General features: G+C 37.8%; 1 protein-coding gene across 4 annotated transcripts in view, besides 2 other annotated features; it reads right to left on the bottom strand.

The window, feature by feature from the left end:
- Nucleotides 1–17,589, bottom strand: part of XPO7 (exportin 7) — an 86,924-nt gene that overhangs the window by 29,778 nt on the left and 39,557 nt on the right. For 2 of the 4 annotated variants that reach the window (NR_156173.2, NM_015024.5), the window contains exons 2-7: nucleotides 9,805–9,951; nucleotides 7,232–7,325; nucleotides 6,498–6,664; nucleotides 4,867–4,932; nucleotides 2,034–2,138; nucleotides 287–452 (exon numbers count right to left, since the gene is read on the bottom strand). Coding sequence is in view for 3 of the 4 variants with exons in the window: in NM_015024.5 (NP_055839.3) it covers nucleotides 287–452; nucleotides 2,034–2,138; nucleotides 4,867–4,932; nucleotides 6,498–6,664; nucleotides 7,232–7,325; nucleotides 9,805–9,951 (745 nt within the window). In the remaining variant the exon portion in view is untranslated. Of the gene's footprint in view, nucleotides 1–286; nucleotides 453–2,033; nucleotides 2,139–4,839; nucleotides 4,933–6,497; nucleotides 6,665–7,231; nucleotides 7,326–9,804; nucleotides 9,952–17,589 lie in introns of all 4 variants that reach the window. The other 2 variants (NM_001100161.2, NM_001362802.2) reach the window with 2 other exon arrangements.
- Nucleotides 16,229–16,338: an enhancer, noted in NCBI's record as "active region_27071". NCBI's record gives its function as "activates an Ori minimal core promoter by ATAC-STARR-seq in GM12878 lymphoblastoid cells {active_cell/tissue: GM12878}" and the evidence as "EXISTENCE:reporter gene assay evidence [ECO:0000049][PMID:35858748]".
- Nucleotides 16,709–16,888: an enhancer, noted in NCBI's record as "active region_27070". NCBI's record gives its function as "activates an Ori minimal core promoter by ATAC-STARR-seq in GM12878 lymphoblastoid cells {active_cell/tissue: GM12878}" and the evidence as "EXISTENCE:reporter gene assay evidence [ECO:0000049][PMID:35858748]".

Raw genomic sequence — 17,589 nt, 5'->3', positions numbered from 1 at the left:
GTGGCATGTGCCTGTAGTTCCAGATACTTGGGAGGCTGAGATGGGAAGACTGCTTGAGTCCAGGAGGTTGAGGATGCACTGAGCTGTGATCGTGCCACTGCACTCCAGCCTGGGTGACAGAGTGAGACCCTGTCTTTAAAAAACAAACAAACAAAAAAAGACGTTAGAATTTTTTCTCAATTCTCCCTCAGAATACACAGGAGTTGCCAGGAGTTCTTTAGATCATTCTACAGACACTCTGTAGGGGAGTGACAGACAGCCTTTGAGGTGGAGGAAGTTCTGTTACCTGATCTCCAGCTGGTGGGAATCTGCACTGTACACAGGTCGTCTGAGGACTCATCAGTGGAAGTGCCGATGAAGTCAAAGTTGAGGCAGTTATGAGTGAGCTTGAGCAGTTGCATGAGCAAGCCATGCTGACTTTCATCATTCAAGTTTAGATTCTTTCCTGAAGCCTGTAAAAATTACCACATAATGAGTCCCCAAAATCACTCCTCTCTTCCCAGCTTGCTCCCAGACTCAACAAAGCTGTTAAGTCAGAAAAGGAGGGCTATATGTTAGCACAGTAAAATGTCCCCTTCTCTCCAAAGATGTGGTACTTCTATCACCTGTGACTATGAAAATACCTAGCTCCTTATATACTATTAAAACATATTTACTATAAAAACATGAAGTTGGTATTTAAAGAAAGCCCTGTTTTAACACTTACTATACTCCTCACACAATGTAGACATAATGGTCACAGAGAATTCTGAAGCAATATGGCTCCTGTGGTCATTTTATTGGCATGTGAGATCTTAGTTATTTCTAGACAGGGCTGGGATTAAACTCTGGAGGGAGCTCTGAGGATGCTTAACACCCTGCCCTACTTTCTTTCCTCGTTTTTACAACCACCATCACCAAAAATCTCTCAAACCAGAATTAAAATCATCAGTGAATTTTATTTACTCATTGCAATGTACCTGCAGACTACAGGTGAGTACTGGCCATAGCTACTGTGCCTGTCCCATTCCAAGGTTATACCAGCTGAGCCTCCGTGACTGGCTGGCTAATTATTTGTTCCTGATGGTATCAGTAAGGAGGATTCAATCCTTAGTTTTCTCAAAAGCTTTTCCCCTCCAGCGGGTGCAACAGCTTTTGCTAGGCAGCTTTGCTTAACCTGAGGATTATTTGGGAATTCTAAGGTAAAACTAAGTAATTGAGGAAAAAGATGAATATCGTTAACTGGAATAACAGAAAGAATACAAACTGGCTTCCAAAACTAAAATTGGGAAATGTTGGAAAATAAGAACAAAACCACAAAAATGAACAAAAAACCAGAGGCTAACCCTATTTAGCTTTCTTAGGGATAAAGCATCCGAGCTGTGTTACAACTGTGTGGAACTCCCAGCTTAACACTTCTTTCTTAGTTCAGCTCTATCAATAAATGAATTGAAAACACCAACTTTCGATTTTAACACAGGTAATTTCCTTATGTGATACTGTCTACTCCTCCAGGTTATTAAATCTAAATGGATGTTAAAAATTCAAAATCTACTTTTCCTTACAGATGTTACTTGTTTATGTGCTGCTTTTAACTCAGCGGGGGACAGGGGAACCAGCCTGGTTTCTGTATGCTAACAACATAGTCTGAACCTACTTTCAGAGCACTAAGAATCCAAACACCATAAAACTAACATGCTTTCGCACCATATAGAAAGATTTTATGTGGTTATAAAAACAATAACAACACAACTTCAAACTCTGAGTTAGGTAAACTAGATCCCTTTAAGATAGGAGTATGGGATAAATGCTCACTTACTGCTCTTTACCTAGGGGAATTGAGCTTAAACAGGGAAGTGACAATCATTTCTCCAACCTCAGTGGTCACTCTGACCAGTTTCTTCAACGCCTCTATGAGTCTTATATAAGAGATGATGATTAAACAGATGCATAAACTCTCGTGGGATCAGTTAAAAGCTGACATTTAACAAGTTCCCATCCATTCTCATTCTTTCAAAAGAAACTGGGAAATATGACCCAAACTACATGCTCACCTGTTTTAGTAAATTGCAGGAAAGTGTGAAGATATCAAATAATGATGAATCGCGAAAAGAAGAGGCTATTTTTCTGTGCTTGGTTAAAGGATGGGTGGTGTCTGCCTGTGCAGAAAAAGAAGAAACCAATGCAAAGAATTAATTGCAAAAAAAGAATTTTTCATGTAGACTTCCTATAAGCTAGAAGGATTTCCAGTAAGAGCAACATAAACATAAAATACATTTTTAACATTTAAATTATTGTGAAACGCTATCTAGTGAAAGGATGGAGGATAGTAAACTGCTAATAGCCAGGGTATCCTTTCTCTCTAGCTTACAGAGGGAAAACAAAAGGATGGATAATCTCTGCTGCAAATTCTTATTTTCCTCTGTATTCAGGGAGGTAAAACTTAAATTGTTGGCAGACGTTACTGATAATTACTTTCATGTTGTACTGTGGCTTAATGGGCCAGGCGTGGTGACTCACCTCTGTAATTCTAGAACTTTGGGAGGTTGAGGCAGGAGGATCATTTGAGCCCAGAAGCAGACACAGTGAGACCCCCCACCACCTCTAAAAACTAAAAAAAATAAAAATAAAAAAATAAAAAAATCGGTGTGGTGGTGCATGCCTGTAAGTCCTAGCTACTCAGGAGGGCCTGGAGCCCAGGCATTCGTGGCTGCACTGCACTCCAGCCTGGGCAGCAGAGTCTCTTAAACACCCACAGACAGAGTAACAACTCTTTGATTTCAGTAAGCAAAACTCAAAACAAAAACAAAAACAAAAAAAACCCTCAACGCTGAAGTTACTGCAGAATTTACAAATGACAACAGCCCATAATATTCACCTCCTTTTCTAACCTATTTCAACATATTCTCTATACCCCAGAAGTGAAAACTTAATTTAAGTAGTTGTATTGGTCTTTGACTTTCCCTGTTCTTGTCTTTTCAGCTAAATTTATGTTTTTGTGGTTAAGAACTAAATCTTTTACTTCTTTAGTATGCTCCCAGTCCTAACACACAGTAGGCATTCAATATGTGGAATAAAATAACTTCAAAGTTGTCAGGAGTATTTTCAGTCTAACCATGTACTGAAAGCTTAAATCTCTTCTGTTTACTGATCAATTCATCCAAGAGGAGACTCATTTTGTTTTTTCCACATTAAAGTGTAAGGCAGCAAGATTACTGACAATCAAGTCTTCTTAATTTTATTTCTAGGTTCTAAGTAAGAATAGTGACAGAAATATACTTTCTTTTTTGAATCTGACAATCACAAAACAATGGAAAATTCAAATTATTTAGAGGCTCAAAATATTCTCCAATTCTTGCTTCTGTCATTGTGTTATCATGTGTCTTAGATAATAAAGGTCTTGCTAGATTATGTATCATACAATCTGTTATATTGATCATAACACAGAGAATGATTACACACTAAATGCTACACAAAATTTCATCACTTTCTTAGAAAAGTAAAATCTTGAAGTTTTTTATTATACATATATCAAAATTTATGTACTCTGTGGGGCCAAGCTTCAAAGGGGAAAACATTAAGTCCACAATCTCTATCCTTAGTTAATGCATCTGCTCTTCTGCTGCAAAGATAAGAGTGGTTAAATAGTACATTAGTTGTTAAGAACACAGGCCCTAGAATAAGACTATTTGGGTTTGAATCACATCTGTTGCTTGTGAAACCTTAGGCAAATGATTTCATCTTTATGGGCCTCAGTTTCCTGATCCAGAAAATGGGATAAACACAGTACCTACCTCATATGACTGTTCTGAGAATAAAATTAGTTACTATAAAGTGCTTAGAATGGTGGTAACAGTAATCACTCAAAAGTGTAAGCTGTTATTATTTTGGTAATTACTGATCACAACGGGGATTGCATGTGGCAAGAAAACACAACATGGACTCCCAATTTTCACAGGCTCTAAGCTAACACATTTGAAATAGGACCAACTCACAGTTAAGATTTCTCAGGGTTAATAAAAATGTCTGCAGAATTATGAGCAATAGCAACAGTAATGCTGATATCATTAATATGCTTCCAACTTAAGGGTGAGATGTTATAGCTAATATTGATAAGGGCCTGTTCTATAATCACAAATTTTTAGCTGGATAAAAAAGTAAATGACTAAAATATAGCCAGGACAAAAGAAAGCCACTGGTGTTTCCTCTGTAGTATTCTGTGGCATCAATGACCATTTAAAAAATTTAAAGTATATAGGAGCAGAAGGGGCACACAAAAGGTCGACCTTTATGGTCTCTTTTTTGAAGTCATTCTCCTTCATGGGCAAGGCAGTAGTATTTTGCTTTTTTTGAGATGGAGTTTCGCTCTTGTTGCCCAAGCTGGAGTGCAACAGCGCGATCTTGGCTCGCTGCAACCTCCACCTCCCGGGTTCAAGCGATTCTCCTGCCTGTCTCCCAAGTCGCTGGGACTACAGGCACATGCCACCACGCCCGGCTAATTTTTTGTATTTTTAGTAGAAACAGGGTTTCAACATGTTAGCCAGGCTGGTCTTGATCTCCTGACCTCAGGTGATCCGCCTGCCTCGGCCTCCCAAAGTGCTGCGATCGCTTTTATCTCTAAAATGATAATTAGTACCAATAAAAAAAAAAAAGCTAAGATGGAAAAGGGGAAAACAACCTGGAGACAGAAAGGGAACAGGACAAAAAGTGAGGTGAGTTGCAATTACAGAGGAAAACCCAATGGAACTATTTTGTTTCAAAAGGGCATTAATCACTTACCGCAAAAGCACACAACTGCCAAAAAAGATCATCCCACACACAGCAGAAAACACCAATACTAAGAAAAAATATGGCACTTACTTCAATGAGGAAGGCTGTAGCACTTACTTGATTAATTTCATTGGTTAGCTGAGATAAAATTGTGACACCAATGATGCAGTATTCAACACTATCCTGGTTAAAAAAAGTATAAGGTAGAAAGAGTTGTCATGTGTGCTTGGTTTTGGCATTTGGAATGCACTCATACTTTCGAATGACGGGTTCCTGTGTCATTAGTAAAACTGCCTAGACAAGGCAGCAAGGAATCATAGTTTAAAACTGTTGTTTTGCTGGACTTAAAACCTAACTGTCACCACAAAGGAAGACTGTCAAATCTGACTTCATCAAAATTTAAAACTTTTACATTAAAAAAAATTCCCATAAGCATTATAGCATATACATTTTTAAAAGGTAAATTGCAAAACACATCACTAAAGTAAATGACAAGTAAACAACACATTTTATAAAGAGAATGCATAAAACAATAAGCAAAGAATCTGAGGAAGTGTGGTTAAGATATAAATAGAAGTTCACAGAAAAACAAATATAAGCAATAAATAAACATATCAAAATTTATCCAGTCTCACTCATAACCCAAACAATAAGATACCAATTTTTTTAACCTATTAAATTAGAAAAATTAAGTTTAGCTTCCAGGGCTGAGGTAAGCAGGTCCTCTTATCAACTGTTTGTGGAAGTAGATACAGTCATGAGTCACTGAATGATGGCGACACGTTCTACGAAATGTGTTATTAGAGGATTTCACTGTTGTGCTAACATCATAGAGTGTACTTACATAAACCTAGATGGTACAGTCTACTACACACCTAGGCTGTATGGTACAGGCTATTGTTCCTAGGCACAAACTTGTACACCACGTGACTATACTGTGGGCAACTATAACAATGGTAAGTGTTTGTGTATCTAAACATAGCAAAGATAAAGTAAAAATTCAGCATAAAAGATTTTTTTTTTAAAAAGCTACACCTGTATAGGGCGCTTACCATGAATGGAGTTTACAGGATTGAAAGTTGTTCTGGGTGAGTCAGTGAGTGAGTGGTGAGTGGATGTGAAAGCCGAGGACATTGCTGTACACCACTACAGACTTTATAAATATGTACACTTAGGCCACACTAAATTTACTTAAAAAATAAATTGTGCTACAACATTAAGACAGTTCGACATCACTAGGCTCCATTTTTTTTCCAGTTCCATTATAATTTTACGGGACTGCTGTTGTATATGTGGTCTACTGTTGACGAAAACATCATCATGAAGTGCAAGCTGTATAACTTTTTTGAGGATAACTTGGAAATATCTTTCCAAGGCTAGGAATTGACCCTACAAACGCACTTATTCAAAATATATGTACTGGGCTATTCACTGAAGTATTAATTTAACACTCGAAAGAAATGCCCATCTATAAAATATTAACTAATTAATTAAACATATTTTTGCTTGGGACCATATGTAGGAATTTGAAAGACTGAGACATGGTTTGTTTTTGCCAACATGCAAACACTACCAAGACCTATTAAGGGTAAAAAACATGCAGAAGAGAATATATCATATAATTCTATTTTGTGTCATGTTTAAAAAGTAGATAAGCGTGTTAAGTTGTGTGTGTGTGTGTGTGTGTGTTTATATATATGTATATGCTGGTTCTCCCATTCCCATTACATCAAATATATACACTGTACCTGTAAAAACCTTGTGACGTCTGTGATTGCATTTCTGAAGACATAGTCATCCTTCTGACAGTCAAACCAGCCCAGTTTTGTGATTCTGGCATATAACTGAATAAGTGCTTGTGTCACGAAAGTAGCCAACTTCGGCCGAGTGGCAAGGTAGTTGAGCACATAGTTCCCTATTAAAAAAAAACAAGAAACAAAACCAATCCACATAATAGAAAGCTCTGCCAGAGAAGGGTGTATATCTTTAGACATGCTAAATGGCCAAGAAATTATAAATTTAGACTATTTAACCCAAACTGTCTTAATTATTTATGCTACTGTTCCAAATGGGACTTTAAATTTAAGATTAGTAGGTGTTCTAATTCAGAATTTTATTTTGTCTCATGAAGAATTTGCAGTATAGCTGCTTTGACTCTATCCCTAGGTAGCTAAAGAACGTGGTCTACACAGAATTCAAAATCATTAACAATGTTTTTCTTAGTTATTAGTGGCAGTAAAGAAAAGATGAATGAAGAAATCTCCCGATAACAAAAGGGAGGACTTAGGCTTTATCCAGAAGTTATTGCGTCGGGCCCTTCACTTTCATAAGCCCCAAATTCTGGAAACGAACTGGATTCTAGACATTTTGTATGGTTAGCAATCTCAGCATATCATTGAACAAACACGTACATTTGACTATTACTAGCACATCACTAAACAAACTATTTTCTTCAAGACAGAACAGAAAATTCTCCACTTACGAATATCTATTCGCTGTTCCAATGGTAGGGGGTTGTTTGTGCGTGATACAAGCTTGGTAAGGCATGTAGCTGCCAGTAACTGGGAGTAAGAGGACTGTGAAAAGAGAGGGAAAAAGGACTTAAAATTGTATTGAGTAAGCCAGTCACAAGGTTTTTAACTTGGAGATCTCTGCTCAGATTCAAGAAAAGGCAATCAGTTTTGGCAGATTTGATCCTCTGGATTTTAGAGGGTCTACTGCTCTGAGGAAAAATGAACCACATAGCATAAGTTTATTAGCTGACTTCAACAATGAACAACGGGGAAGATAAAGTGAACCGTCTGATCAAGCTGAATCTAATACAGGTATCTGCTTCACTCTGAGGGACAGACACTAGAGGGCATCTTTTCAGAAAAATAGAGATTAGAAAAAATCTCTCCCCTCATTTAAACCAAGAAATCTCCCCTTAGTATCTGTTATAATGATATTTCAAACAGTTTCACCTCAAAATATTTCTATGGCATGATATTGGGGAAAAAAGAAAAGAAGTATTAGAGGAAACCATCACACTATGCTGTATAGTTGTCTCCAAATTGTATCTTTCCATCAGCGCAGCTATCAATCAGCTATTGGGCTGGGGAATGTATATGATAGTTTAAAAGTAAACTTAAGGTTATTTGTGAGAAAGGAGAATTATGCCTTAAGCAATGGAATAGCTTTATCACATTCTCAAATGTGGGTTTAACAAGTTTTAACCTTACGGAGACTCAAAGCATTCCATGTGATCAAAATGCCTAAGGAAGAATTCCTCCATGTGGCTATATTATATACAATGCCATAAAACAGGAACAGGCTCAGAAGCATTAAAGTATTTTAATCAAGGGTCAAGGACAATTTTCTATGACACAGAAAGTCCTTAAGATGGTAGTCCCTCAGACTATCCATTTATGTTAATATTACATAATACCACCAGGTATAAAAATTTAAGACTAGTGGTGAGAGAGACTGTACTGTCACTCCAGCAGGAGTTAGCTGGCAGAGCTAGCTGGGCATCTCCCACAGGACAAATACAAGTGCATCAATCCAAACACCAAGTGATTTAAGAGCAATATATAAAACACTATGTGCGTAAAACAGAACAGACCACCACACAGTCTTTGACCATGACTTTGTATCATTCAGATATTTGGGGGAAAAGTTATACCCCTCAGCTACTAACGGATAATTTCAACCAATTATAATTTGTTCTATTTACTGTATAAACAATATTATAATACTAATAAAAAGTCAAAAATAAAGTCAACTAGAATTCTATCCTCTCAACCAATTAACTTTCATTTTTTCACATTTCATTCCAGTCTTAAGGATACTTTTTGGAAAGCAAATTTTGATTAAGCAATTCTTTAGGGATTACTGTTGTTCAGAATACCACATGGCATTATCATTTCTATTTTCACCTTTTTCCACACACACAAGAATGATGGCTAATATATGTGCCTTTTCTTGGTGTTTTCTCTTTCATCTGTGAAAGAGCGTAATATAGGTAAGCACGACTGGGAAGCTGTTTGAGGATTAGGAAAAATATGAGGACTGCACTTTATGTTGCCACTTTATCAAAAGAAGGCCAGTGCTTGCTGCTGAAGTCTAGCTGGGATATGCCTCTCATGATGCCCTTTCATGGGACCCTGGGGGGATCCCACCCTTCCCAAGACTTCCATCTTGCCAAAGATAGTGATTTTTTCAAATTGTATCTCAGGAACATTATTTTGATCACTGCAATGCCATTTTTAAGCTGGAGGAGGTTCTAATTCCATTTAAAATCCTACAATCTCCTGTAATTTCATTGTCAAGGTCACTGTTCCTGGATTTGTAAGGCAATAAACAGCAGCTGTGGCAGAGAGGACACAAAACACAGAGAAGACTGAGGATCTTGTACTAGGACTTTGGATTAAAAAGGTCATTTATTGGCCGGGTGTGGTGGCTCACGTCTGTAATCCCATCACTTTGGGAGGCCGAGGCGGGTGGATCACCTGAGGTCAGGAGATCGAGACCAGCCTGACCAACACGGAGAAACCCCGTCTCTACTAAAAAAAATACAAAATTAGCCAAGCTTGGTGGTGCATGCCTGTGATCCCAGCTACTCGGGAGGCTGAGGCAGGAGAATCACTTGAACCCGGGAGGTGGAGGTTGCAGTGAGCCAAGATCACGCCATTGCACTCCAGCCTGGGCAACAAGAGCGAAACTCCGTCTCAAAAATAAATAAATAAACAAACACAAAGGTCATTTATCTACAGTCCTATCTTATTCTGGAAAGGACAGGATGTGGCACTTAAATGTAAAAGCAGAAAACAAGTTCTGGAAATTTAGGATGAAAAATTACAGAACAGAAATGCATGTTCAAAGAGATTTTCTTGATGAGACTGTATGGCTGTTTTGCCAACCTGGTAGGTATGGTACTTCTTAAAAGTGAAAATAAGTCAGGGACACCTAGAAAAATCAGGGAACAGAAGCCATCCCATGCCATTCCTACACAGAGAACCAGAATAACGTTTCCGAAGCGCCTGTTATCCTTTAGGATTTTCAGATCTTACGCACACTTCCTCTTTCGAGGAGTAGCTGGCACTTGCTCAGGCAATCAGGGCTGTTGGTAAATTCAACCAAGGCTTTCTCTGCCTGGAGTCGAGTGGTTGTGTCTGTGGTTTCATACAGCTGTTTGCACAGATTCTCTAGTTGGGCCAGGCTCTGGAAAAGATCAGTCAGGAAAGAAAACAGTTCAGCCTACTACAAATGTAAGCAACTGTGCTTAAAATTAATAAACAAAGATAAATAATAATCAGTAAAGAAAGAATTGCTTCTGAACTGAGGAGAACCTGGGTAACATTCACCTAATAACCATTTATAGGTCTCTTTATTTGATGCTATAGAAGACAAAATGGTAAGATGCTTAGAATACCTATATAACTTTTTCATCATTCCCTTGAGGATCAATCATACATGATACATTTTTCCGCTTGCAAATACCCAGCCTCCTAAGCTTTCCTAAAAGGCTTTGAAATAAAAATTCAAAATTTACTTATTCTGCTATTAATGTAAAAAGTGTGAAATACCAGAGGCACGGCTACTAAAATTAAGCACATAAACATGATATAAGTACCACACACATTTTCATATAGCTTTAAATATTCCTTTGAGTAGTAGTTATTAGCTTACAATAATGTATATGCGTAAAGATGGTCACCTGTACGAGAAAACCTCTAGAGAAAGCTTCAAGATGTATTTACGCACCTTCCTCCCTGGATCCCTCATGTCTAAAGTTCAGCAGACTCTCTTCTGTTGCACTTTAAACTCTTACTTTGGTTCCAAATTTAAAATGAAAGCGTCAAAATAAATTCAACCCTAGCATATGCTCACTCACAGATAAGACAAGGGAAACACCCACAAGCAAACTCTTCTCTCCAAATCTTGAACCAGTTCCAGGGAGGCAGGAAGGGGTATGGGTGTGTGCTTTGGTCAAAAACCCATAGGGAGGCATATATACTTGCACTTAATGTGGTGTTTAAAGGCAAAGAGGAAAGTAACTAATTAAGACTATACTTCAATATCACCTTTCACTGACTGGAGAGTAAACATCTGTTAGCCTTTAAAGGAATGGTTTGGACTTTAAGAAAAAATTGGAGCCTATTTTCACCAGCAGCAAGGATAGTTTGAGGGATCCTACTATTAGAAAGGACAATTCTGACAAGAACAAAAATAATAATAATTAAACCAACCTGTGTAAATTGCCTAAAATATATTACACAGCCAGTCTGCCCAAGGCTTTTCATTATCACTTTATTTCATTACACTGTGTCTTTATAAATCACAGCTTTTCCACTAAGTAGGAAAGCCTTTGGGGCAGGATTCATATTTTACTCAACCTGATTAATAAATTTCCAACACTAACTGAAAGGAAACAAGAACGATGAATACTGACGCCCTAAGATCATCAGTCCTACTTCAGACAGCCCCCAAAAGAACAAAACAACAACCTTGCCCTTAAAACGAAACAAACCATCTTTCACAACATCTTGGGACTTTGATTAGGCTTATGTTTAACTTGTTTCTGACTTCCAGGGGTCCCACTTAATCTCTTCTTCAATTCAAAAGCACAGAGAAAATCGCAATTGCAAAGTCAGATCTCAAGCAATAAAGTTCTATAAGTAGTACCTGAGTTTATTCACATGGCTTATGAACACAAGTAGAAAATAAGGCTAATTACATACATTCCATAAAATACATGCAAAAGCCATTTTTATGCTTGCCAGTACTGCTCAAGACCTTATTGAGAATTGAATCAGTTTAATTATAACCACTCACATTCCTAAACAAGGCATTAAATCTCCTTCACAAGGTTTTGTTTCAACATTGAAATCTATTTCCCCCCTCCTACAAAATGATTCCCTTAAAAAAAAAAAAAGAAAAAAATTATTTAGGAAAATAGGTAACAAGAAAGACATCAAGAGAAAGACACTGTTTAACTAAAACGTAAGCTGCTATAAAACCTGGCATCAGGTATTGGGGAGCAGCAGCAGCCTCAGAACCTCCACAGCCATCACACACTTTGAGCTTTCCAACATCCTGAACAGACACTCCCTGAACAGTCCTGATGCTTATGGTATAATGGCTCTCCTTAAAGTCTGATCAATCAGTTCCTGTGGTTCCCCCACTGCAACTCTTGTTTATGTTTATTACAACAAAGTTGTTCACATGACAATGTCTAAGCATCTGTTACAGGTAGTTCCTTACTGCTAAAAACCTACATGCAGGTTATGGTAGGCTTTTTGTTGTTGTTTTGTTTTGATTTGCTTTAATTTAGCAGACAAAACATACTGCAGGGTAAGTCTGGTAATGAGTTCTCAGCTCAGGAAACAAGACTGTTTAAAAAACAAAAACGCAATTTGACCATTTACACACTTTGAAGAACGACAGCTCCATTTTTTTTTTTTGTTCCCAGAAGAACAAATGGGAAACAATTTTGTTTTCCTAAACAATTAGTGGAAACATCTGAAAAACAGGGTCATTTTCTTTGGGTTGCCCACACTACCGATGAAGGAGAAAGGAATGAGACATTAACATTTATGCTTTTTTAGTTACCAGTGTTTTCAAAACAAATCTAATGGTTAGGTTCTTTTGAATCATCTTTTTTTTTGGCCTAGCATAAAATAATTTACCCTATAATTATTTGATTAGCTATAACAACTAGTACTTCACACTAAGGGTGGCCGACTACACACCACAGCACTCTCCTTGGCATGATAACATCTATGTCCAATGTTTTCCTAGTCGCCAGTTCTTATTAAGGATATCTATTCTTTGATGCCACTTTGGTCAGAGAAAATCCTCCAGAGAAGAATGTCTATTTTCTGTTCCTGAAAAATTGCCTATAATCCATGGAGAAACTTCTTGTCTCGCTGGAATAGAAAAGCACATTTGGTGAAATGCTTTATAAAAGTGAAAGGTGATCTTCAGCTAGCAAAATACTGCTTTTTAGTATAAGAAACTCATGAGGATTAATTCCCAAACCTAGAACCAGACCGATTTTACCAACAATAATTACAATGAAGGTATTAAAAGAATGCATCTTCTTTAAAATCTAGCAACACCAGTATTTTAGTCTATTCAACTTGGATAGAGGATATGCAGCTAAGTTATTCTTATTTCAACATAAGGCGAGATTTGTTGAGATTACAGACCTTAGAATATAATAATTTGTCTGACAAGGTGCCTCTAGATTAGGGGAAAATAAAGATTTTGTTGGTACATTAGATGTTATATTACTCCACAAAGCAGAATACCTCAGATTTTACTTTGTGTATAGTATTGCTCTTTAAATAGCCCAATGGTTATACTTTTTTTTTTTTTTTTGAGACGGAGTCTCACTCTGTCGCCCAGGCTGGAGTGCAGTGATGTGATCTCGGCTCACTGTAACCTCCGCCTCCTGGGTTCAAGCGATTCTCCTGCCTCAGCCTCCTGAGTAGCTGGGACTACAGGCGCGTGCCACCACGCCCAGCTAATTTTTTATATTTTTAGTAGAGACGGGGTTTCACCATATTGGCCAGGCTGGTCTTGAACTCCTGACCTCATGATTTGCCTGGCTTGGCCTCCCAAAGTGCTGGGATTACAGGCGTGAGCCACCGTGCCCGGTCTATACTTTTAAATTAGCCTCACTGCTTTAAAAAATCCGCATGGAGAGTTCCAATCACAGACTACGATTCTTGCTTTTAGGAAGGAGTCAATGACACTCCCAATAATATTGAGTACTGAACTAGACATAAGCATAATCCTTGGGTGACCAGTCAGATCCGCAGGTGTTCTGAAGAGCACATTCTTAACCTGACTGCCACCCAGCCATCTGAGATGAGCAGAAGCTGCCATCATGTTACAAAATATAGGCACAACACAGAGAAGTTCTAGAAAACTTAGAGTAGATTTACCAATTTTGTAGCTGAATTATCATAATTCGAATGCCACAAATATATAAAGAATTGCCGAAAACCCAAGCCACTTTCACCCTTTTCACAAACCCTTTTAATTTATGTCCCCCTTAGTTGCAATTTTTCTGTGTACTGGGAAACACTGTGTTGAGTAAATTAAAATATTTATACTGAACCTTGCCAGAAAATGAACCATTTTAAGGACCTAGAAGGTTAATTGACATATAAATTACATTTTACTCTATTTAATAAGGCATTCTTATAGTCAATAAGTGAGTATCCAATTATCAGAGATAATAAAAGAAACTTAAAAAATTCAGTAACAACAATTATTGTTAGGTTAGAAGGTGAATGGCAAAACAGTATGTTGAGTATATTACCATTTGTGATGCATGTTAGTAAATTTATAGAAGAAAACCTAGATGAATACAAACCAAACTTAATTGTCTCTGGGAAGTGAGAATATGAGAGACTTTCAATTTCTGTAACCTTGGAAATTTTGACCACAACCACATATTCCTCTGTAAGCAGAAAAAAATCCTAACAACTGTAAAGATAAGCATTTTTTAAAAGGGCAATTTAAGCTACATTCTTTTCCTAAATTAACTCTTCACATTAGTAACATTTTACTAGTTAACGGCTGATTCTGTTACCAATCAGAATTCATAGAACAATTCACAAAACCAACCAGACAAAAAACTATTCACAAGGCTAAAAAAACAAAAACAAAAACAAAAAAATACATTTGCATTTATTACTCATTTTATTTTCTTTTTTCTTACCAGTGCTGGTAGTTTTAGCGGCCTGAAAAGAACATTCAAGGTTTCTTCTTGTTTATAAATTTATATGAAAGGCAATCGTGGTGGCCAAAGTCATCTTGGTTTATAGATGTATCAGTAGACCTCTCAAAAGTTACTTACTACAATAGAGTTCACAGGGCAAACTCGCTTGCTCTTTGAATGTTTATAAATGCACACTATTTATTTTTTAAACTCATTTTAAGGAAAAAGTTTACCAAGTCAGTGCCAAATACTTGTTTACGTAATTTACAAGAGAATAAGCCAAGCAGCCAATAAACAAATGAAAAGGTGTGCAACCTCAATAATCATCAGGGAATGTAAATTCAAATCACGATGAGATAGCCATTAGAATGACTAAAATGAGGCAGGGCGTGGTGGCTCATGCCTGTAATCCCAGCACTTTGGGAGGCTCAGGCGGGCAGATCACATGACAGCTGCAGTTTGAGACCGGCATGGCCGACGTGATGAAACCCCGTCTCTACTAAAAGTACAAAACTTAGTTGAATGTGGTGGCGTGTGCCTGTAGTCCCAGCTACTTGGGAGGCTGAGGCCGGAGAATCTCTTGAACCCAGGAGGTAGAGGTTGCAGTGAGCCAAGATCCTGCCACTGATCCTGCCACTGCACTCCAGCCTGGGCGACAGAGTGAGACTCTGTCTCAGAAAAACAAAACAAAATGAAAAAAATGACTAAAATGAAAAAGCCAAGATCAAGTGTTAGCATGTGGAACAACCAGAACTCGTATGTTGCTAGTTTAGTCTGAACTGATTCAAATACATTGGAAAACTGGGAGTATAAAGGTACACATATGGAGGCTGTGCACAGTGGCTCACACCTATAATCCCAGCACTTCAGGAGGCTGAGGTGGGAGGACTGCTTGAGCCCAGGAGTTCAGAACCAGCCTGAGCAATATAGGGAGACTCCGCCTCTACAAATAATAATAACAAAAAAATTAGCTGGGTGTGGTAGCGTGCCCTTGTCATCCCAAGTATGCAAGAGGCTGAGGCAGGAGGATTGTCCAAGTCTGGAAGGTCAAGACTGCAGTGAGCTGTGATCATGCCACTGTACTCCAGCCTGGGTGACAGAGTGAGACCCTGTCTCAAAAAAAGAAAAAAAAAAAAAAACACCCTGTGACCCAGCTATTCCACTCCTAGATACACACTCAATGGAGATGCGTACTAAGCTCACTCATGGCAGCACTAAATGTTAACAGTTCCCAAATAGAAAGCCAAATACCCATCAATAGCAGTATGGATGTTTCATTTCTTAATTTGTGTGCTGGTTACCCAGGCATGTGCAGTTTGTGAAAATTCACTGAGTTTGTGTATTTCTAATTTGCATACTTTAATTATTTATATATTTATAATTCATGTATTTTTCTGTATGTATGGATGAATGCCATAGTTCTGCCCAAATTCTCTAGTTACTTATTGTCATCGATTACTTTTTAATACTAATGGAAAAGAAGTTTTCATCAACAACCTACAGCTGCACTTTAGATTCAGAATGCTTTAGTTTTACAACGCTAAATGCTTTTACAACCACGACTCCCATTAGTTTCTCAGGAAGAACTAAGGTAAGACTAAGAGAGTGAGTAACACTTTTGGTTGCAGATGCTGTGTATGTCTACTACGGTAAAACAAGATAAAATACTTATTTTCAGCAAGTGATAATGCTATGCCAGAGCCTGGCGTGCATGAGATAAGGATGGCAAGTCCACTACCATATGAGACTGCAAAATTCTACATTTACTTCAAAATACTAATCAATTCTAACTTGTAATAAACACAGATGATCTTTGTGTTGTGGGTAATATGTGGCCAAAACACATGCAAACAAATTATTTCATGAAGTAAATAGCCAGAATGTACCTAGTCACTTAATGGTTTATTGACTTTTAAGTTTAACCCAAAAGCATTCTCTTAAGTGCTCACCAGAAACTGGCTTGGATTCCTTCTCATAGTCTCTAACGGTGCAGAGGAAAGAAAGCTGCAGGGCAAGGTGAATCCTCTAAAGGAGAGGTTTCAATCTGACGCCCTGAAACGGGCCCACAGTCATTTTTGGTTTTTGTCTTGCACTGTGGTTTTAAAGTGACACAGCTGGCAATATTTCACACTATCTGGTTTTCCAGCTTCCTGTGAAAAATGAGAAGCTCTGAAAGCACTGGGTCTGCAAAGGGTCACAGAGGGAGTGCTTTCCTGGGCAGGCTCTCTCCAGTTCCCCACGGCTCCTCTGTAGACAGCTGTTTTCTCCCCTTGCTCTCCTGCAATTCTGTCTCCTATCAGTGGTTCATTCCTGGATGTCAAACTTAAAAAGTGTCATGCATGATAGGACAACAGATTTGGGCTGAACTTTGGGTACTACTGCTTCACCAAATTCGGTTAAAACACAAGGAACTATGTAAAACTTAGGCAGAGAAGAGTTCGGTTGATACTGGATCGTTAGATACCGGTCTTAACGTATGACTGTGGGTGAGTTAACTTCCAGGAACTTCAGTTTCTCATAGGTAGGTAAAGTAAATGCATTTTGTTACATGATTTTTAAAAGACACTTCCAGTTCTAAGATTCTTTGACTGCAATAAACTATCCATCATGTTTTAATTATATTAGTGAATGAGAATTCCAAGTAAACAAATATTGAAGTTAAAATGATCATGAAAACGATGATTAGGACATTTTTTTTTTAAAGTGAGAATGGTATTTTAAAAAAATAAATTGGTAACACTCACATCCTTGTGATTGTAGTGTAGGATCTTTACCCACAAACAACTTCAGTGACCTAGCAGCAGGAACAAGGTTTCTTTTGGAGTTGATTCAGTACAGAGTAATGGGTAAGATTTTAGGTGGCAGACAAATCCCTACTCCTCCGTCTACTGTAGGAGCATGACTTAAGTTACTCAAATCATTCAAATATTTTCCCTTTCTTTTACATAGAAATAACACCCACTTTACAAGGTTGTAAAAGTCAATGAAGTAATGTGTGTACACTGCTAATTATTACTGGCTATTATTGATTATACTGGCTACCAAAAACTCTGGAGAATAGCAGCTTTTTTATTGCTTGCATGAGCGCACACAAAATCTGCACTGTTTCTTCTAAGGGGATTATA

The sequence above is a fragment of the Homo sapiens genome, chromosome 8, assembly GCF_000001405.40.
Source record: "Homo sapiens chromosome 8, GRCh38.p14 Primary Assembly".
Taxonomy (NCBI): Eukaryota; Metazoa; Chordata; class Mammalia; order Primates; family Hominidae; genus Homo; species Homo sapiens.
Note: the sequence above shows the minus strand (reverse complement) of the source record. Positions and strands in the feature narration are given on the sequence as shown.